At 42.3% G+C, this 22315-nt stretch overlaps 1 protein-coding gene across 30 annotated transcripts in view, besides 1 other annotated feature; it reads right to left on the bottom strand.

Annotated features, from left to right (window-relative positions):
* The window catches only part of RBFOX1 (RNA binding fox-1 homolog 1), a 2473620-nt gene that overhangs the window by 478696 nt on the left and 1972609 nt on the right, over positions 1-22315 (bottom strand). The window lies entirely within an intron of this gene.
* Positions 6903-7197: a silencer, noted in NCBI's record as "tiled region #8564; K562 Repressive non-DNase unmatched - State 24:Quies". NCBI's record gives its function as "represses a minimal TATA promoter and a strong SV40 promoter by Sharpr-MPRA in K562 cells {active_cell/tissue: K562}" and the evidence as "EXISTENCE:reporter gene assay evidence [ECO:0000049][PMID:27701403]".

Genomic DNA, 22315 nt, shown 5'->3' with positions numbered 1-22315 from the left:
CACACATATACACAAGCACATACAAACATATATATACACACACACACACACACACATATGTATACACATGTCATTTGCAACAGAAGACTTCATGGTTAAATGCTTCATACTATCCAGGACACGATGCTTATATTCCTGGTAGAAGACAAACTTTGAGCCTGGTTCCCCCTTCTTCACTGATGAGGGAGCTTATTTTATTGATGGCATCTTGCACTGTTAGCTTTTACCTCCCAAAGGTTAGCTTTTCCCACTTTGTGGTTTTGCTGGCAAAGGGGTGGAACCAAAACCAAATAGATTCCTCATCTCAACTCACTGTATTATACACAACACCAACCCACTGGAAGATAAACCACTGAGAAATGAGCTCTTTTGCTCTTCCAGTGGGGTTATTCATTACCTGGCCTGAGTAACCTCTGCCTCCAGCATGTGAGCCCTCACTGTCCCTCTGCAACATGCCACAGCTTGATTGCCTGCCGTGAGCCACATATCTGACAAAAGCGTCTGCCAGCAAAACAGGCCTTTGTGAATAGAGCTGAATGCAATGAAAATTGACCAAGCATTCTTGTGACATAATTTCCATGCAACCCCTCTCTTCTCATGATAATGTAACTCCTTGATGTTGTCTCAGTTTTGCTGAAAATGAAAAGTATCAAAATAGAATTAAGCTCATTCACTTCTATTCTCCCAGGACCAGTCAAGCCAGTCAAGATGGAAATTTGTCCATTGGCCAAAGAGTCAGAGTAGCTCTCGTTGAGTGGTGATTGACTTTTTGGCTAAGATCGGCAGAAATAAACCTTGTTGTCAATTAGCTTTGCCCTTAGTAAGACTCCATTAGGCACAATAAACTAGAGCAAGAATTTGAAGAGAAAACTGCCATTTAATAAATTCCCAAATGTTGTTATGTTTCTCTGACACATATACCATAAATAAAAGACGAGTTGGAAGTTCATGGGGCCCCCATCTTTTGCTAAGGTCGCATTTCTTGTTGAAAGGGCAGCATCCAGGGAAACAATCGGATGTCCACAATGCAAACTATACATGTATTCCCCAGACTATACCACCAATGTACACATTAGAGCAAAATAGACTTTGTAAAATTTTCAGGACTTTAATAATAATTTCCACACATTGATCTCATTTAACAAGTGCTGATCGACGGCCTGCTGTCTACCATGTATTGTGTTCAACAGCAGAGCTGCCTTCATGAATAAGAGAAAGAGCAAGGAAAAGCAACTCAATGTTTAAAATTACAAATGGTGATCAGGACTTGGAAGCACGTGAATAACATGTCATGGAAAAGAATATAGAAGAGCTGGGATAATTCTTTTAAATAGAAAAGGTCTTTGAAGAGGTGACTTTTCACTTGGGATAGAGCCAGCTTAGAAACAGTCAAAGTCAATGGGATAAGAATCAGGAAAAAAAAAAAAAAAGGATGAGTTTAGCAAGGTTGGCAGGAGCCAGACTTCCAGGGCTTTATATGAAGGTGGTTGGGATTAACTCTAAGTACAGTGGGGTTTTTAACTGGGAAGGGAAAGCATCCTATGTACATTGTGAGATGGGTTCTTTGGCCGCTGTTGGGAACATCAAGAGCAAGCAAAAGGGATTGAAAAGGGAAATGTAGCCTATTTTAGCAGTCCAGGAAAGCAGGGTGACAACAATCACCGGTGTGGAGAGGGAAAGAAGAACAAGTTTTGAGAAATATGGGAATACAAATTTGACAGGGTTTGCTAACATCATGTGCTAGGTAAGTTCTTTGTTTCTGTTACCTCATTCTTTTTTTTTTTTTTTTTAATTAAGAGATGAAGTTTCACTCTTGTTGTCCAGGCTGGAGTGTAATGACCAATGGCGTGATCTCAGCTCACGGCAACCTCCCCCTCCCAGGTTCAAGCAATTCTCCTGCCTCAGCCTTCTCAGTAGCTGGGACTACAGGCATGCACCACCACACCCAGCTAATTTTGCATTTTTAGTAGAGACAGGGTTTCTCCATGTTGGTCAGGCTGTTCTCGAACTCCCAACCTCAGGTGATCCACCCGCTTCGGCCTCCCAAAGCGCTGGGATTACAGGCATGAGCCGCTTATGCCTGGCCTGTTATCTCATTCTTTAAAAGAACACCATTAAATAAGAATTACGTGGGTACAAGTGGGCATATGTGTGTGGGGAGGTATTTGCATGCAGGCTATTTATTGAGCACCTAATAGTTGCCAGGAACCTGGTCCCCTATAAATATTCACTTGTTTGAAGCTTGTTATAACCTAAAGACATAGGCATCTTTTGCCCATTTTATAAAATGAACACATAGCTCAAGCAAGTTATATATCTCACTTAAGTTTTCTCCCTTGGTCTCCATGGTTTTTGTTGTGGTGGTTGTTAACCATTTAAAGTAAACAGTTTTCAGGAGTTCATGACCAGCCTGGCCAACATGGTGAAACCCCGTCTCTCATAAAAATACAAAAATTAGTTGGGCCTGGTGGTATGTACCTGTAGTCTCAGCTACTCAGGAGGCTGAAGCAGGAGAATCGCTTGAACCTAGGAGGTGGAATTTGCAGTGAGCCGATTGTGCCACTGCAATCTAGCCTGGGTGACAGACCGAGACTCTGTCTCAAAAAAAAAAGGAAACAATTCAGTGGCATTTTGTTCATTCACAAATGTTATGCAACCACCACCCCTATCTAGTTCCAAAATACGTCATCATTCCATTCCGAAACAAAATCTGTACCTATTTAATGGTTATTCCCCAACCCCTTCCTCCTAGCCTGTAGCAACCACCAATCTGCTTTCTGTTGGTGTGGATTTACCTACTCCAGATATTTCAGGTGAAGGAAATCACATAATCTGTGGTCTTTTGATTCTGGGTTCTTTTACTTACCACAGTGTTTTTGAGGTCCATCCACGTTGTAGCATGTAACAGTAGCTCCTTCCTTTTTATGGCTCAATGATATTTCATTGTATGGATAGACCACATTTTGTTCATCCATTTATTTATTGATAAATTTATTGATAGGCATTTGGGTTGTCTTTGCTTTTTGGCTGTAATGAATGGTGATGTTATAAGCATTTGTGTATGTGGATTCAAGTGAATCTGTTTACAATTCTTTCCTTTAGGCATCTAACTGGGAATGGGTTTGCTGGGTCATATGGTAATTCTATGCTTAACTTCCCGAGGAACTGCCTTTTAAAAGTTTGGTTAGGATGATAAATGAGCTGATTAAACTGTTTGCTCTTAGGAGCTGTGTTGCAGTGAACACAGCTATACTCCCTCATCATGAACCCTGCTGATTCTCTAATACTCCAGTTTAGTCACGTGAACGATAGTAGTCGATTCCTGATTCATTCTGATTGGTTTAAGGATAAACACATGGTACAAGACAAACCAGCCAAGCCCTCCCTTATTTCTTTGCCCAGCTACCAGAAAACAAACACATAAACAAGCGTATTCTAGCTCTTTCGGTTGTTCTGTTGGCAGAATGGGAGTTTTAAGCTATAGTGGTCTCTTGTCTACCATGGAGACAAAACCTATCTGATCCAAACAACCATACTTATCTTACCCTGAATTCTGGAGAGGTAGATTCTGGAGGATACTCTCCACTTAATGGAAAGATCCCTGATGCTCAGGGGGCTAGAGGTGCTTGTTCAGGTACCATGGCTGATCAATGTGAATTCTGGGACTCAGACCCAGCTTCGGAAACCAGTGACTGGTTACCTAACATCAGAAGGTAAAATTAACACCAGTAACCTTGGGAAGACAAAGTTGATTTCTACAAAATGAGGAACTATAGTCCAGGAATAAAATGAGCTGCCCTCTGCAGTATCAGCTCTGCAGGGTAAAAACAAACTGACCAAAAAAGAATGGGGAAAGTTTATGTCCGAAGAGCAGAAATTCAGTTGTGTAAATTCATGCATTTGGTGCTAAGTTGACAGAAGTGGCCTTAAAGGTCACTTTCAACTCCAAGTGGCTCTCCCCTTCTATATTTAGTATCTCAACTGATTTTCACAAACAAGTTCCAGAATGAATGCATCAGAAGCTAGTGGTAGTGCCCAATGCCATCACGTGATTGGGAAATGAAACGAACCTTGCTTTCCTTTCCTTTCCTTCATTGACTGGGGAGGCTGAATCTGTCAAGCAGTGCTTCATCATGCCTGATGGGTCAGCCCTTTCCTGAATGTGAAACCCTTGAGAGGACAAAGCTGATCTACATCTCAAAATCTGTGGGATTTAGAGGCAGGCAGATGAATAAGTTAACTATGGAAGCTGATATGTTAAGCCAAAACTGAGGCATGACTGCAAGAAAACAGACCCTGCCCCAACACACGGAGTAATTATTGAATTATTGATGTTTTGCCTTGTCCACTAGACAACGACGGCAGGTACTTTCTGTTTGTTTATTTTGTTTGGGTTTTTACTAGTCATCATTTCCCAAATGTCTTCCACAGTGACTGACATATACAGATGTCCAATTAAAAAAAAAAGTGAAATGAGTAAACGAACGCAGAAAAAAAGGATGAGGAGGCCTTCCTTCCCTCCTTTCCATCTCTCCCTTCCTTCTTTCCCTCCCCTTTCCTTCCCCTCCCTCCCTTCCTTCCTCTCTCTCCTTTCCTTCCTCTCTCTCCCTTCCTTCCTTCCCCTCTTCCTCCCTCTCTCTCCCTTCCTCCCTCTCTCTCCCTTCCTCCCTCTCTCTCCCTTCCTCCCTCTCTCTCCCTTCCTCCCTCTCTCTCCCTTCCTCCCTCTCTCTCCCTTCCTCCCTCTCTCTCCCTTCCTCCCTCTCTCTCCCTTCCTTCCTCTCTCTCCCTTCCTCCCTCTCTCTCCCTTCCTCCCTCTCTCTCCCTTCCTTCCTCTCTCTCCCTTCCTCCCTCTCTCTCCCTTCCTTCCTCTCTCTCCCTTCCTCCCTCTCTCTCCCTTCCTTCTTCCCCCTCCCTCCCTTGCTTCCTCTCTCTCCCTTCCTTCCTTCCCCTCTTCCTTCGTCTCTCTCCCTTACTTCCTTTGCCCTTCCTCCCTCTCTCTCCCTTCCTTCCCTTCCCTCCCTCCATCTTTCTTCTCCTTCCTTCCTTCCTTCCTCTCTCTCCCTTTCTCCTTCCCCTCCCTCCCTTCCTTCCTCTCTCTCTCCTTCCCTTCCTCCCTCTCCTCTCCTTTCCTTTCCCTTCCTTCCTTCCTGCCTTCCCATAACACTCATATTCTCATATAATGACTTCTGAATAAGGACATCATCTACATAGATGACAGGAAGATGTGACTAGGCCCTTTCTGTCTATCCTTTATAGGGCAAGGACCAAAACTTCATTATCTTTAAGGTTAATGTAAGGAAAGCCGAGCAGTTTCATTTCATTTTTAAAGGAAATTTGGGCCATCTCAGGGTCTCCTCAACTTAGGAGGAAAAAGTATGCCTTCATAAAATACTTCAGTGTCTTGCAGAAGATTGCAATGCATCACTGGGACACTGCAATGTTTAAGGCCGACGCTTTCTGAAGCATGAAAGAAATATCTGCGGATTTTCCTTTTTATGTTTAAATTACTTTGCTTCTTACTTGACTACTTGTTCTGACCTTTCAGAGTGCTCCCTTCTTTATATTTCTCCTTGAGTCTATTAACCATTTTTAAAAACAGTTTAGATACATCTGTTATGCATTGTTCTTTCTTAGCCTGCTATTCCCCATCCTTCCAGCTCATCTTCCCCTCACTTGACCTTCCATATAAAGCCTTGTAATATTATTATACTCTCTACCCCAATGCATCCATCTTCTTCTCTCTCAAAATGCAACAGATAACGTGAAGCTGTGGATCTGTAAAACACTCACTTTTCATTTTCAAGTGAACGTGAAGTTAGAACCGAGAGATTATGTTTTTAATCCATTTTCCCCCAAAATAAATTATAATGGGAAACTTGGTCAAATTCACTTAACCTCTTGCACATTTCACCTTGGAATTAATGTTCTTTCACGTCGTCCTGAATTGAGCTTTGACTGAATAAAGCGAGAGGCACAGCCAATCAGGTGCAAAGAGAAAAGAAGATTCTGAGAATCCTTCTAGCCCAAGATTTGAATCAGGTCTCTACTCCCTTACGGCTGTGTGGCCATGGACAAATTCCTTCACTTCTCTGGTTTTCAGTTTCCCAATCTGTAAAATTTCATTGCTATTAACCATCTTTATGAATCACTGAGAAAACCAAGTTCAATGAGAACACCTATTTAGAATAGCCACATAGTAGGTACTCTGATTAAGAGAGCCATAATGATTTAGGTTTTCATTAAGCAAATCTTAGTTGAACTCACTTGATAATGACAGCGGGGGGTAGTAGGAGAAGATAAAAAGGAACCCTTGATTTTCCTCCTAATATGTGAATAATAATCATTATATTACCTTGAGGATGAATATAGTCCTCAGCTCTGATCAGTCGGAAGTTCATTCATTCATTCATTCATTCAACAAATATGTATTGAAAATCTACTATCTGTTGGCACACAACCACGACCAAACCAGACACAATGCCTGCTCTCGCGGAACTTACAGTCTGATACTCTCATCTTTGCCACCTTCCTGTAAGATAGTGATTCTTAACCAGGAAAATTCACCCACAGAGGATATCAGGCAGTATCAGGAGAAAGTCGGGTCATCACAACCTGGTGGGTGGGTGCTACTGGTATCCTGTGGATTGAGGCCAGAGATACTGCTAAACATCCTACAGAGCACAGGGTGGCCTCCTCACCGCAAAGAATTGTCTGGCTGTGGAAAAATCCTGCTAGAAGGGAAAGGATAACCACGTGAGCTAATATCATTAAAGCAAGGAGTAAAAACAGCCAGTACAGAAGTCATCATCACCGTGGGCTTACCCACACATGCAGCTGCCGTGATGAGGTAGGAGTTTCCTGTGTCTGCCACAGGAAGGGAGAGATTCCAGGGTGCCTAGGCCAGGTGCTGCGTGCAGGCCAGCCTGCAGGCAGGGCGACGGGCCAAATGACCCAAATGCCCGCTGGAAGGACCCATCCACTCAAATCCCCCACCCCCATCTCCAGTGGCTACAATGACTGGGCTTGGAATGCTTGCGCGTGCAGCTGGCATCCGGGCTTTGCATTTCAGTCAATGCTTTCGGACTCCGAAAGCTGCCCCCAGGGAAACCACTGCGTCTGAAGAGCTGCAGAAGTACCACTTCAGTAGAGACAGTTAGATAAATAACCCTGAATAAAATCGCATACTTTTAAGTGCTTTATTAATACGGTTGGGGACAGAGCATGCAAAATTCCTGCATTGTGGAGTTGAAGGTTACGAGAGGAGGATTATGCAGTGAGCTAAGTGAGAGGGGGCAGGGAAAGAAAAGAGCAAAGCAAACGCAAATTCCTCCCTTGCTGTGTGTGTGTGTGGGGGTGGGGTGGGGTGTGTGTGGTATGTGACAGTGAGAACAGAGAGAGATATACAGATAGAGCACATGGCATGTTTTGCAACAGTTAAAGAAGAATGGAATGACACATTGCATAGGCTACCATGTACATGAGTGACATAATGGGGTACTATTACTCCAGGATTTTCAAACTCAAATATCTCCAGGACCAAACAGGTTCTATAAATGACAGAAACTGGCCAGGTAAGAATGCTGGGGGAAATGAAGAAAGTGTGCAATGCCGGAGAGGACAACCACAACTCAACTTTAGCCATTTTTTATCCTGGAGAGATGAAGACAAGCCAGAAATTCATATTCTTACATAAAATGTTATTTTGTAAATACATCCATACATATAGACACACAGATGAAAATACCCCCACTGTATCTGCAAGTTATAAAGTCCATTTGCCTGTGAGCCTGAAGTTGGCAATCTCTGACTTACATTTTAATGAGATAATTTGCTCACTGACTTATTTATAAAGAGGAATATACAGGAGTATGAATTTGAAGTGAGCTGGGAATCCTACCAGTCCTCTTGATTAACTGTGACTTTAGACGTATCTCTGAACTCCTCTACAGTACTTTTTGCGGTTTTAGAAATTAAGTCTGAAAGACTCATCTTATGGAGTTGTTTGAATATAAAACTTGTTAACTCTGAAAGCACTTAACACTGTTCCAGGAAAGAACCCCCAGATGTTGGCCCCTTTCTCCCTATGGAGGCACCATTGAGAGAATTTGTTACGGCAGACCCAAGGAAAATTCAGGGTTTTGCCCTCAGAATGTACACAGCATCAAGTGGAGAGTCAATGCAGGCTGCACATACACACACCCCACCTCTTTCTACCCAACTCTTTTAACTGAGGGCCTGTAGTGGACATTAGTCCCTTACACCTGCTGGAAATTCCTTCCCTCTTCAGGTGGGCATTACACACTGCACTTCTTTGAAGAAGAACCTCTTCTCCAGTTTCAGAGAACTCCGTAGCTTGTAGTTCATGAGAGGCCTGATTCATCCTTGAAGCCAACCTGCCTGATCAGAATATCCATGCTTCTGACTTGAGTAACTGGCTCAGGGATGTGCACAGGGTACCTGAGAGTTATCCCTGGGATGTTACCTTTCATGATTGTAAAGGAGGTGCTCTTTTTCTCCTGGTCAAGACAAAGTGATAGGATCTCAGTCCTGAGTTGAGGGTGAGCATCTTGCCACTATTTGGAGAGAATATGACATGAAATAAAGTGGACGCCAAGAAAAGCAGAGTGTACAGATTCAGCAAGGCCCATTCCTTAGAGCATCGCCATTTGGTCACCTTGATTCAGCTATTCCTGACACCCATCTCAGAAACATGACATTCACATTTATATATATATATATTTATTATACTTTAAGTTCTAGGGTACATGTGCACAATATGCAGGTTTGTTACATATGTATACATATGCCATGTTGGTGTGCTGCACCCATTAACTCGTCATTTACATTAGGTATATCTCCTAATGCTATCCCTCCCCCCTCCCCCCACCCCCAAATGTCTGACATTCACATTTTTAAAGTACAATATATTCTACTTTTGACAAACGCCAATTCTATTTGGATTTCTGTCCCGTGCCACCTAAAGATTTCAGGAGAACAAATCATCCATTGCCACCACAGCTTAGTTATCTTTGAATGTAAGGTCACAATCTCATCATCTCACATGGCCCACTGTATTAGTCTACTTTCATGATGCAATAAAGACATACTTGAGACTGGTAATTTATAAAGAAAAATAGATTTAATGGACTTACAGTTATACGTGGCTGGGGAGGCCTCACAATCATGGTGGAAGGTGAAAGGTGCATCTGATGTGGTGGCAGACAAGAGAGAATGAGAACCAACCGTAGAGGGAAACCCCTTACAAAACCATCAGATCTCATGAAACTTACTACCATGAGGACAGTATGGGGAAAACAGCCCCCATGATTCGGCTATCTCCCATCAAGTCCCTCCCACAACACGTAGGAATTATGGGAGCTACAATTCAAGATGAGATTTGGGTGGGGACACAGCCAACCCATATCACCCATGGAAAGGAGATCACGTGCACTTACAAACTAGATTCATGCTTCCTGTCCTAGGGTGACCATGGATTTAAGATAATGACAATGACCGTGATGATGATGATGATAAGCCCTTTTTGGAACACCTGATATTGGATACTACACTTAGTGTTTTAAACATATCACTTTATTTAACTCCGGCAACAACTTAAGGAGAAGTATGTCACAAAAATGTCTTAGCATAGTGCTTGACACATAGCAGAGGCTCAATAAAGTGAATTCTGCCACTCTTATCACCCTCCTCATCACTGTGACTAGGACAGTGCTTCTCTAACTCAAAGTACATGAAATCACCTGGAAGTCGTGGTAAAGTGCACATTCTGATCCAGTAGGTGTGTCTGGAACATAACAGTCTGCATTTCTAACAGTTACCAAGTGAGGCTGGTCTTTGGACCACACTTTGAATAACGAGGACTTTGGACACTCACATTCAGGAGAACCATAAAATGACAATTCCCATTGATTGGTTTTAGAATATTCATTGCTCTCCCCAAATATCACTTATTTGGTCTTTCTACTTTATTTTAACCAAAAAGACATTTCCATTTGGAGACATTACCTCCCCCTAACCCACCCCACTACACGCCCAACTGAAAATCTGAAAGTTTAGAAATCCTGATGCTCAAACCTCCCTCTGATTTTACTAGTTAAATCAGAGGCACTGAGGGGCAGGTCCCAGGTAGCAGTATTTTTATAGCTCGATCATTTGCAGCCAAGACTGAGAAGCACTGGGCTGGTGATGCTTGGTATGGGGCATTATAGGCCAAGGGTGATGGCAAGTTCCACTAATTTGCATGGGCAGAATTCAAATGTCAATGGGACTGAAAATGGCTTTTGGTAGAATTAGTATACTGATATGAAACCTGCTACACTTTATTACTAACATTTAGAGAAACACTGTCCATAACTGCTGGCTTGTACGATGACTAAAAGAAGCCATTTTATAACTGGAATGGCAGCATCATGGAACTCTTCCCATTATAGTATTGCACTGAGTGAGCTGAGTGAGTTCCTCAACTGAGCCTTTTTTTTTTTTTTTTTTTTTTTTTTTTTAGAAAAAGGAAGAATCAGGATAGAAAATCTAGATCCTGAAAGACCCAGAACAACGAGCCTAAGCAACCTCTGATGCATCCCAAAGGTCATAAATACAACATATGCATAAATAATATGTACTTTACTTATGTACTTATAATTCACATTAAAGCACTGAAGCCACATGTGGAACAATGAGGTGTGCCTATCCTGGTATGTGTCCACTTTCAACTTGGTACAATTAAACTGTAAGGTATGCTCACCAACCAGCCATAACAGATTTATGGTTTTTAATAAATGGCTATTTCTACCAAAAAAAAAATGCTCTTTTGGTTTAGGAAGTGCTCCCATTTCTATCAGACAGAAATGAAAACAAAACTTTGCCAGAAATCCACCTGCCTTGCTCATTTCTTTTTCTTTTTTTTTTTTTTTTTTTCTGAAACACTGACGGCATATAGTGGGGAATTTAATTCAACATTTCTTTAGTTCTGAAACATAAGACACTGAAATAAATAGCATAATGCTTGAAAGCATCAAGAGGCAGTTAAGCTGAGGTGGATGTGAGTTGGATCTCCTGCACAATTACTGGCTGTGCAAATGCCCCTGAAAATTTGGAGTTCTGATAAGTAACTTCCACAGGTAAAGCACTTAAGCATAACCTATAATATTCTATCATTCGCATTACCAATGCGAATTTGTCATGATTCAATGGAATATACATTTTGATTTGGTTTATCTTTTCACATCTATCCATGCAGTCCACCAAAGAGACTTACCAAACTCTGAAGCCCTTTCTAGCACTGACTGTCAAATTCTATCCTCACGGAAAAATCATTTACATGCTCTGACAATCAAGAGACACCCAGGGTTTCACCTGGACCTATGCAGACTCCCCTAGAGGTCTTACCCTCTCATGCTTCTGATCTTGAACTTGAGCTCTTAGGCTGACACTGCCATAAGCAATAACCTTTGTTGTCCTGGCTGGTCAACCCTTCGCTTCAGCCCTTCTACCCTTGTAGATGTGGTGAGCTACCTTTATTCACCTCAGTTGCTAGTCTCCCAGGCTGCTGCTGACAGCTAAATGAGAATCGCATCTGCAATCAGGCTTAATTATATAACAGGTGGCCAGATGGAAGAGAAGCCTCATGGGTCTGACCATGCAGCCCAGATGTTTATGCTGCACAACAAGGGACGCTCAAAGAAAAAAAAATCGCTGCAAATGAGAGGACTGGTTGAGCAAAATGTAGTGAGTGAACTTCTTGGACAAAAACACACTCTTTAGTAAACCACCAACCAATGCCTGTAAATGGAACACTGCAGTCTTTCATGATGAGTACCCAGAAGAGTACCTGATAGTTGTGAAATGGCACTGGTTCCTGCTTACCACTTTGATAATGATTACTGTAGAATACATATGTGTGTCAGGCATTGGCTTACACCTGTAACATCATTTCATGTAATTTGCACGACAACCTTATAAGGAACAAAGAGGTAAGGGGGCTAACAAACTTGTAAATGCACACAGATCATAAGCGGCAGAGAGGAGATTTGAACCCAGGCAGGAACAACAGCCAGTGCCCAGACACATATCCAATTGTTGCTTCGCCGTCTCCTCTGGGTCCTGTTATCAAGAGTGCTAACATGCATTAGGTTGTCACTTCCTTGCATTGCCAACTTTTCAAGGGGGACAATTCATTTTGACAGAGCTCTGGGCTGCCACATGCCCTAACAGTTCAGTAAGAATGAATGAGAAAACTCTAGTTGCTGAGGAATGTATTCATAATTGGAACTGACATATAAACTACCTATATAGCCAACATGAGACTTTGCACATTAGGTCTGCTTGCCTGTCTAGTGTAGTATTATATCTTACGCTTCTGAGACTCCTTGCCCTCATGTAAAGTAAACAAGAGCAAAGAAGAATGCAAGGCCCTTTGTGAACCACCTGCCCTCTGGTGTGGTCGTGTCTATGGCACTGTCTTACTTCAGGCTGGGCTTTTGAAACAACGAATCTTTTTTTAGCTGAAATCCTCACCACTGCCTTTTATAATATCAGCTGGAAGCAGTGACACAGAGTATTCAAAACTTAGCTTTGTGTCTTCACGGAAAAATTTTAAGTGACTGACAGGCTGGCTAATAATGGTAAAAATAAAATGCTGCCTCTCTCCTGTTCTATCACAGAAGCAGACCAAGACTTAGAAGCCTCTTCTGCATTTCATCATTTTCTACCCATTTTGTGGTTGGACATGAAGAGATGTCAGCTCTTGTGGATTTATGAAGTTAAATCAGGAACTCCTCCAAGGAGGGAAATCAACTTTTCAGGCCTCTGTATGTGCTTTCTTAGATCTCGCTTGTAAAAGATAAGACCATTCTGGTAGAATAACAAACTTTGATGGCCATTGAATAACCACACTGAAATTTTGAAGTGCTTTTTAAAAGTATATATGTGGAGAACAGGATAATTTACAAATAAATAAGTCAACGGCAGGTGCAGTGGCTCACGCCTGTAATCCCAGTACTTTGGGAGGCCAAGGTTGGTGGATCACCTGAGGTCAGGAGTTCAAGACTACCCTGGCCAACATGGTGCGACCCCTTCTCTACTAAAAATACAAAAATTAGCTAGGTGTGATGGCACGCACCTGTAATCCCAGCTACTCTGGAAGCTGAGGCAGGAGAATCGCCTGAACCTGGGAGGGAGAGGTTGCAGTGAGCCAAGATTGGGCCACTGCACTCTATCCTGGACGACAGAGCAAAACTCTGTCTCATAAATAAATAAATAAAAAAATAAATAAATAAATAAATAATCAAATAAAAATAAAGAATAAACAAGTCAAAAGTTAATATTTGTGTTTTATAATCTAGCCAAATCACCTTCTGAGACCCTCCTTGTGGCTATGAAGCCCTTATTCTAACACTTTACAAACTATTTTTGAACACTTACAATGTACAAGGCAGCTGTTTTAATTCACACTCTCTAAAATACACAGGGAGATATTATAGAGACATTCAAGTATAAGCCACCACATAAAACGCAGCAAATCAAATCAAAATTTAGTCACATCAACCTGGCTTCATTTTAATGAAGACAGCGAACACACCTCTACTAGTTAGACAGTACATCTGATAAACTAAGTTCTTATTGCTGGAGTTGGAAACCGATGACTTGTCTTACCTGGACAGGTGTCCCTTTCTCATCAGTCTTTGAAATGCAAATGCATTTAGAATTCCTAAGAACCCATTCCATAGAGCAGTCCCAGAAGTATCCTGAGTCTTAACAAGCAGAAAGTAGGATGGGATGTTAAGGGTGGATAGAGATCAAGAGAATCCCATGGAAATACCAAGATGCCTATTTAAAATGCTGATTGTACGGCCAGCCCTGATAGGTCAGATGTGGGCCTGGAAATTCCACACTCAGCCAGGATCCAAGATGATCCTGTGGCAAGTTCACAGATCACAATCAGAGAAATACTGCCATCCCCCCATGTACAAAGAAGATAATTCAAAAGTCCAGGTAACAAGTCCTCAACCAGAGGAAGATGCAGCAATGATACCTGCACAACAGAAAATAGTGTCGTTTCCAAGAGCCACACCTGACATCAGGGTTACATCCAAAGTGGGCACATAAGGCAGAAATCACACATAATCAAATCTCAGCAACTTGCTTAGGGAGGTCCCATGTTGGTGTCAACACACTGTCTCTTTAGGTTCCTATGAACACTTTTCTCTCTAGCATTGTAATGCATTGCACCTTCTTTGAGCAACAACAGATTAAGTAGTTGTCCTATACTTGGGGCCATGTTGCATGAATGACACCAAGTTTAGAAATGGAATCTCACTCAGCATGATGAAATGTCAGAGCCAGGAAAAATGGGCAGGACCAGACGCCCACTGACGAGTACTATATTGAATTATCCTTCTCTTACTTGCTTCAGAGCATGCTGTCTGCTAATGTCAAGAATTTTCCTCCTGCACTTTTGTCATGATGGTTGTCGGGAGTGGGGAGGGGAGATGGGTGCTAGGACAATTGTTGAATATGGTGAATTTTGTTTGGTCTGATACACACAATTGATCTCTCTAAGGTCAAACAATGCAACTCCATTTAAGACACCTTTAATTTTAAAATGAAGGCTTAATCGAACAAGATACACCACATTAACAAAAACCAACTGAACTCAGATTCAATTGGTTTGAATTCAGAAAATTTCCTAAATAGCTACTAAACCCTACTGATCATTCTATTTTTTGATCCAACAGATTTCTCTTTGGTTAGAAAACTTCTTTATATAAATACACTCACTCTCAGAAACAATGGGAAATCCTTTGGTGGAAGGTCATGCTTTCATATCACAAACATAGAGAACAAAAATTAAATTATCCGTCTGGCTTTTCTAAAAGGAATGGAGTCATTCCAATACCACTCTTAAAGATTCCCTGCTTCCTGTTTCCAGGGTGTACTCAGAGCAGGGATCTATACGGCAGAGGAGCCAGTTTTACTCCGAGTTTGACAAAAACAATCCCATCAAGTGTGAAAAATCCGCCACGCTTGTTCTTTCTACAACAGCTATGCCTCATATTTTCTGGGCACTACAAAATAGCAAGTCTGTCATATTTGTTTCCTCTTGCACATTACACCCTTAAACACACCTAACAGTAGCTTTCAGGGAAAGATGCATTTATAAATGAACACGGTTGGAGCAGCCGACGGTTCTCTTTCCCCCCAAACTTTCAACTATGCTCATCAATTACTCTTAACGGTGCAAAGAGTTGGCAGTGTTTACCCAACACTCCTTTCTGACTTATTCAGCTCGATCTTGCAGCTCATTAAAAGCATCTCTATTTATTTGCTGTGTCTTACAGTCCTTAACTTTGGCACAATATGCCAAAAGAAAGCCCATTTTACTTTTCCCTGTGGTGTTAATTGGTAGAGCATGCTGCCTGCCTCTTCATTAATTATGTCAATGTGTATGAAACTTCCATTTTCATGGGGGTGAATTAACAAGGCTACTCCGAGCAGGGCTGACACAAAGCCAGCTCAGCTGCCTGCAATGACGGGGATAATGAAGACTGCTGGTGGCCAACTCCACATTCATTTACAAAGGCGTGCTTTGTCTGGCTCCGAGCCCTTCTCACCTCTTCTTCTCTTGTGACCACCAGCATGTAACAGGCAGTTTTTTGGAACCAGCAATATCAGCTCTGCTAGGCACAGACCATATGCCTGCCCAAACCCAAGAGAGAAGATTGTGCTGAACATGCTAACTGCATGCGATGCATCGAGGCTGGAGGGGTGAGTCAGGTGCAAGTCCACCAAAATGTAGCAGCAACTTCTGATACTTCTAGACAGGTTCCTGATTGCATCGTGCAGTAGAAGAGAAAAAATAAAAGGCAATCTCTGCTGAAAACTACTTTAAAAAAAAAAAACACTTTAAGATGACTTACCAAAGTCTCACAGCCAGTTAGGAACAAAAGGACACACACACACACACACACACACACACACACACACACACACACACACACACAGCAAACCCCCACAAACCCTAAGTCAAATCACGTCTTCTGGTTAACAAAATCACTCAAAAAAACTTTTTACCTCTTTCTCAGCTCAATTACTGTGAATGCTGGTAAAAGAGTGACACCTAGTTACTGTTTTGCTATTTTCTCTCTCAACTATGCCTCTTCTGTATGAGCTCTCTCACTGGGATCGAATATGGCTTTAAATCTCTCACCCTCTTTCACCATCTCTATCTTCACCTCTTTCCACTTCTAACTCTGTCTCATAGGAAGCATACTGAAGAAGGTGAAAACCAGAAAACAATATACTGATGATGGCTTAGAGTATTATAGCAATTTTTAAATTAGTACCACCATCTACATCTTTGAGAGGTAGAGAATAGTGATTTTCAGATGATTTGGCCAAATTAATGAAGGAAAATAAGACATAAGGTTTAAACTCACTCCCCACCTACTCAGGCAAAGGATCATAGGGTTAGAAAGAGTCAGCAAGGTGGGATGATTCAGCCTGACTTCTGCAGAGGGAGCTCTACTCAGGGGCACACACACACACACACAGACGCACACACACACACGCACACGCATGCAAATGCACGCACACGCGCGCACACACCCCACACACGTACAAACACACATGCACGTGCACACATGCACATGCACACACGCAGACACAGGTACACATGTGCACACACACACACATGCACGCACACACCTACACTCACACACACACATGCACACACATACGCATGCACACACATGCACACACGCGTGTACACACATGCCCACACACATGCAGTGAGTAGTGACAATGCTGTAAGTCTTTCAGATGAACTCCCTAGGATCTCAAAACCTTCACTATAAAAATGTTCTTTCTGATGTCTCCTTGCAATCTTTACTGATGTAAATAAAGCTTTTTCTCAGAAGAAATTGAATGGTGACTCTTCACCAAAAAAATCCTTCCCCCTATGATTAAAAACAAATAAACACTGACATTTTTTTTTCCTTTTCAAGCCAAGTAATTGATTATATTCTCAGAACCAGGCCTCTCATGACCCTTTGTCATGCCTTTTTTGAGGGATAAGATAAAGAGTGATGGACGAGGGGTTGGAAGTCAAGAGGTCAGAGGACAGCAGACTCCCGAACACCAGGAACAAAGCTTCCAAATATTCACTGGTTGCTTTCGCTCATAAATCCTGCTGTAGTTTTCCTGGCTGGACGTGGTGGTTCATGCCTGTAATCCCAGCACTTTGGGAGGCCAAGGTGGACATCACCTAAGGTCAGGAGTTCAACACTAGCCTAGCCAACTTGGCAAAACTCCATCTCTACTAAAAAAAAAAAAAAAAAAGAAGAATAAGAAAAAAAAAGATAATTAGCCAGCTGTGGTGGAACGCACCTGTAGTCCCAGCTACTCCTGCTGTGGGAGGAGAATCTCTTCAATCCGGAAGGCGGAGGTTGCAGTGAGCTGAGATTGTGCCACTGCACTCCACCCTGAGCGACAGAGCAAGACTGTCAAAAAGAAAGGAAAGGAAAGGGAAGGGAAGGAAAGGGAAACAGGGGAGGAGAGGGAAAGGAGAGGGAGAGAGAGGGAGGGAGGGAGGGAGGGAGGGAGGGAGGGAGGGAGGGAGGGAAGGGAGGGAGGGAGGAAGGAAGGAAAATCCTGCTGTACTTTTCCTTACCAATGTGCCCTGGGTGCATTCCTGAATACTCTGACTTTGTTTCCTTGGGTATAAAATGGGAAAGTAATGATTACAACACAGGATGATTGAAAAGAATGAATAAATGACTAGAACTTGGTAAAAAGTAAATACATATTTGTGAAAAAACAGTAACTACCAGGAACTGCTACCCTAAGAATTTTTCTGTAATGAAAAGAGGAATTATAACAATAGCTCAGGCTTCTGGAGTGCTAATTACATTCTATGTGCTGTGCTACACTCATTGTCTCGGTTTGTTTGTGGGTTTTTTAATTTTTATTTTATTTTGACGGAGTCTCACTCTGTTGCCCAGGCTGGAGTACAGCGGTACGATCTGGGCTCACTGCAACCTCTACCTCCCAGGTTCAAGCAATTCTGTGCTACACCCTTTACTCCTATCATTATATTTAAGTTTTACAATAACCCATGAAGTAGACGCTATTTAAAAATTTTTAGCGACAAGGTCTCACTCTGACTCCCAGACTGGTCTAGAACTTTCGGTCTCAAGCAATCCTCCTCCCTCAGCCTCCCAAAGTGCTGGGATTACAGGCATGAGCCACTGCGCCCGGTCTAGGGTAGATGCCATTATTATTCCCATTTTACGGAAGAAAAAAACAGTGGCTTAGACAAGTCAAAAGACTAGCTGGATTTCTGCTCATGGTCAATGAGAGAACCTGGACTTTCCGATGTTCTTAACTAATATGCAGATAGTGGCATGATTCACAATAGCCAATAAGTGGAAACAACCCAATTATCTACCAACTAGTAAAGAGGTAAATACAACATGGTATATCCACACAACAGTATGTTGTCTGGCAACGCATCTATAACATGGATGAACCCCGTAAGCATTATGCTAAGTGAAAGAAGGCAAATACAAAAGAACAAATACTGTATGATTCCAGTGATATAAAACATCCAGGCTGGGCGCGGTGGCTCACGCCTGTAATCTCAGCACTTTGGGAGGCCGAGGCGTGCGGATCACAAGGTCAGGAAATCGAGACCATCCTGGCTAACACGGTGAAACCCCATGTCTACTAAAAATACAAAAATTAGCCGGGTGCCGTGGCAGACGCCTGTAGTCCCAGCTAATCGGGAGGCTGAGGCAGGAGAATGGCGTGAACCCGAGAGGCAGAGCTTGCAGTGAGCCGAGATCACGCCACTGCACTCCCGCCTGGACAACAGAGCAAGACTCCGTCTCAAAAAAAAAAAAAAAAATCCAGAATAGGCCAATTCTTAGAGATAGAAAATAGATTAGTGGTGGCCTAGCATTGGGGAACTGGGGGAAGAAATGCTAATCTGCCCGAGGATCTTTTGAGGGTTATAAAGATGGTGTAAATTTAGAATGTGGTCATGGCTGTACAACTCAGTAAATGTACTTACAAAACATTGAACTGTACACTTAAAATGGGTGAATTTTGCACTGTGTAAATCGTATCTCATAAAGCTCTTTAAAGAATAAACAAAATTCCATGGTGTATATGTGCTACATTTTCCTTATCCAGTCTATCATTGATGGACATTTGGGTTGGTTCCAAGTCTTTGCTATTGTAATTACTGCTGCAATAAACATACATGTGCAGGTGTCTTTATAGAAGAATGATTTATAATACTTTGAGTATATACCCAGTAATGGGATGGCTGGGTCAAATGGTATTTCTGGTTCTAGATCCTTCAGGAATTGCCACACTTTCTTCCACAGTGGTTGAACTAATTTACACTTGGAGACACGGATGAAGCTGAACCATCATCCTCAGCAAACTAACACAGGAACAGAAAACCAAACACCACATGTTCTCACTCATAAGTGGGAGTTGAACAATGAGAACACATGGACGTAGGGAGGCGAACATCACACACCAGGGCCTGTCCGCGGGGGGTGGAGACAAGGAGAGGGAGAGCATTAGGACAAATAGCTAATGCATGTGGGGCTTAAAACCTAGATGATGGGTTGATAGGTGCAGCAAACCACCATGGCACGTGGACACCTATGTAACAAACCTGCACATTCAGTACATGTGTCCGAGAACTTAAAGTAAAATAAAATAAAAAGAATAAACAAAACTCTTTCACTGTGAGACAGACACCCAGACTATCCCATTTCTAATCTCATATATGCAGACATTAAATGTGAGGAACATGTGTCTACTTCATTTTGCAGGGGTGAGATTGAGACAGTGAAGGAAACCATGGAGAAAAATTAGGCTGGAGAGCAAAAAGAAAGATCGCGCAGTATACGGTAGCCTGTGTGAAGGGTTCTGGATTTTATGTGCAGGGCTCAGAGCAGCCACAGAAGAGTTTTAAGTAGCTCAGACATGATCAGATTTGTACTAAAAGTTATTACTCTGGCTGCAGACGATGAGGTAGGAGCACAGCTAGTGGGGTGACCAAGCAGAAACCACAGCGGTTTCCTGTCTGAGAGACGGATGAGGTTTGGACCAGAGAGATGATGGAGATGGAGGCAGTGGATGGATCGGAGAGGCATGGCAAGACACGGTGATTTAGAATAGGAAGGGAGCAGTCTGCCCATGAGAGAGGAATTAAGGAGGACAAAGAAGTGTTTAGCTTGAGCACCCCGATCATGCCATCTGCTAAAGTAGGGATCTACAGGGAAATATATTTGCTGGATAAGATCATCGTGTCATCATAAAGATCATTCTCCTCCCATATGCGTAAGAAATTCAATTTCAGAAGTCTTTTGAGAAAAAAACACTTCACAGAAAATTGTAGGGGTGACATATCCTAGGATAAATGAAGGGTCTACTGTGGCTTCATTAGAAAGATAATAATTCCTTGTTTGAGATAAATGGTCAGAGAACAAGAAAATAAGGTAGCAGGGGAAAGAAGTGGAAAAATTTTTTTTTTTTCCATAGCAAGCTCAGAAGCTTCCAGAAAGGACCAGTTTCTAGGCAAAGGGGAGAGGTCAAATTCCTTCCCACCTGCTCCATCAGGACAGTGGAAATTAATTCTGAGCTCTGCGGTGCAAATGGAATATTTTAGTTCTTAACAACCCACCACTTCAGAGTTCCTGCATGCCCTCTGGCTGGCAAAGCCCTCTAGCTGTCTTTGAGTCGTTCCCCCTATTGCTGGGCAGGACTTTTTCAACCCTCATCCATCAGAGAAGTCTATTAAGAATAACTGGCTTTGACATTAAGTAGATTTGAGTTGGTTTATGGCTCTATCCGTTATTCATGATGACATATCAAGCATATTCCCTAGCCTTCTGGAACCTCGGTCCCTTGAGTATAAAATGGGACAATATCAGGGCTGTTAGGATTATTAAATGAGATAGCTCATCTCAAGATCCACTTCAGTTCCAGGCACACGGTAAGCTCCCATCATACTCCAAGGGAATGATTTCCCACCTTGTTTGTGTTTTTTTTTTTGGCATTAGAGGATCCCTTTGAGAATTAGGAAAAGCCATGCACCACATCTTTACTAAATACTCATTCATGAAAACTTGGAACAGATCTATTAAAGTCTGATTCATGGACCACATTTTGTGAATCTTTAATGTCAGGCAATGGTTCTCAACTCTGGCTGCCTATTACACTGGGAACTTAAAGAAATACTGATCACTGAGTCCCGTATTCCTAAAATTATCTTTAATTGGTTTGGGCTTGGATCCATGCAACGTGATTTTTTAAGGCAACCTCAGCGAATGTGTTGCAGCCAGAATGGGGAACCACTGATAAAGGGGGAAAAACTGATGCCTCATTGTTTTTCTGCCCCAGATATTGTTCCGTGTAATCTGCATTTCTCCTGATCCTGACAGTGTTTTGAGGTGGTTAGGGAGTTCGGGCTTCAGGGTCTGGATAACCTATGTCCCTCCATTCTCAACCCCTATTAGCAGTAAAGTCTTGGCAACCTATTCCAATCTCTGGCTTTCATTTACTTCTGCTCATCTATAAAAGCAAGGGTAGGCACAATCATATTTGCCTTACAAGATGACTGGAAGGATCAAGTCAAGTGTTCCATAGAATTATTCTCAAAATATGAGTGGCACGGTAAGAGCTAGATACTAGGTTACATGTAACCACTATTGCCTTCATCAACACCAGCACCGACATCATCATTGTAGCCTAAGTTATTCTTTTTATTTTTTGATTTTACTCTAAGTTCTGGGATACATGTGCAGAACATGCAGGTTTGTTACATAGGTATACATGTGCCATGGTGGTTTGCTGCACCTATCAACCTGTCATCTAGGTTTTAAGGCCCACATGCTTTAGGTATTTGTCCTCATGTAGCGTAAGTTATTCCTAATAACTACACTCCTCAAATATTGAGGCTATTTTCTCGTTTTTTTTCTAAAACAACTTGTGGAATGCCTTTATATGAGAGTTCTCAGCCTTCAAGGGATGTGAGACTACTCTGCTTGGAAAAATGTTCGTGCCCAGGACTGATCCCATTATTCTGGTGCTGTTGAGAAACCCCACTCTAGGGTGTACCTGATTTTGTAATTCCCTAAACTCTAAAGCAGCATCTGCATGGATACAAGTATGCCTATTCATTTAAAATAGTGGGAAAGAGGGGTTGCTAATAACACAAGTGTTCCTCAGTCATCAAGCGCTAGGGTCAACGCGGCTACAGGCAAGCGAATACTTTCCTGAG

The sequence above is a fragment of the Homo sapiens genome, chromosome 16 (genome assembly GCF_000001405.40).
Source record: "Homo sapiens chromosome 16, GRCh38.p14 Primary Assembly".
Lineage (NCBI taxonomy): Eukaryota > Metazoa > Chordata > Mammalia > Primates > Hominidae > Homo > Homo sapiens.
Note: the sequence above shows the minus strand (reverse complement) of the source record. Positions and strands in the feature narration are given on the sequence as shown.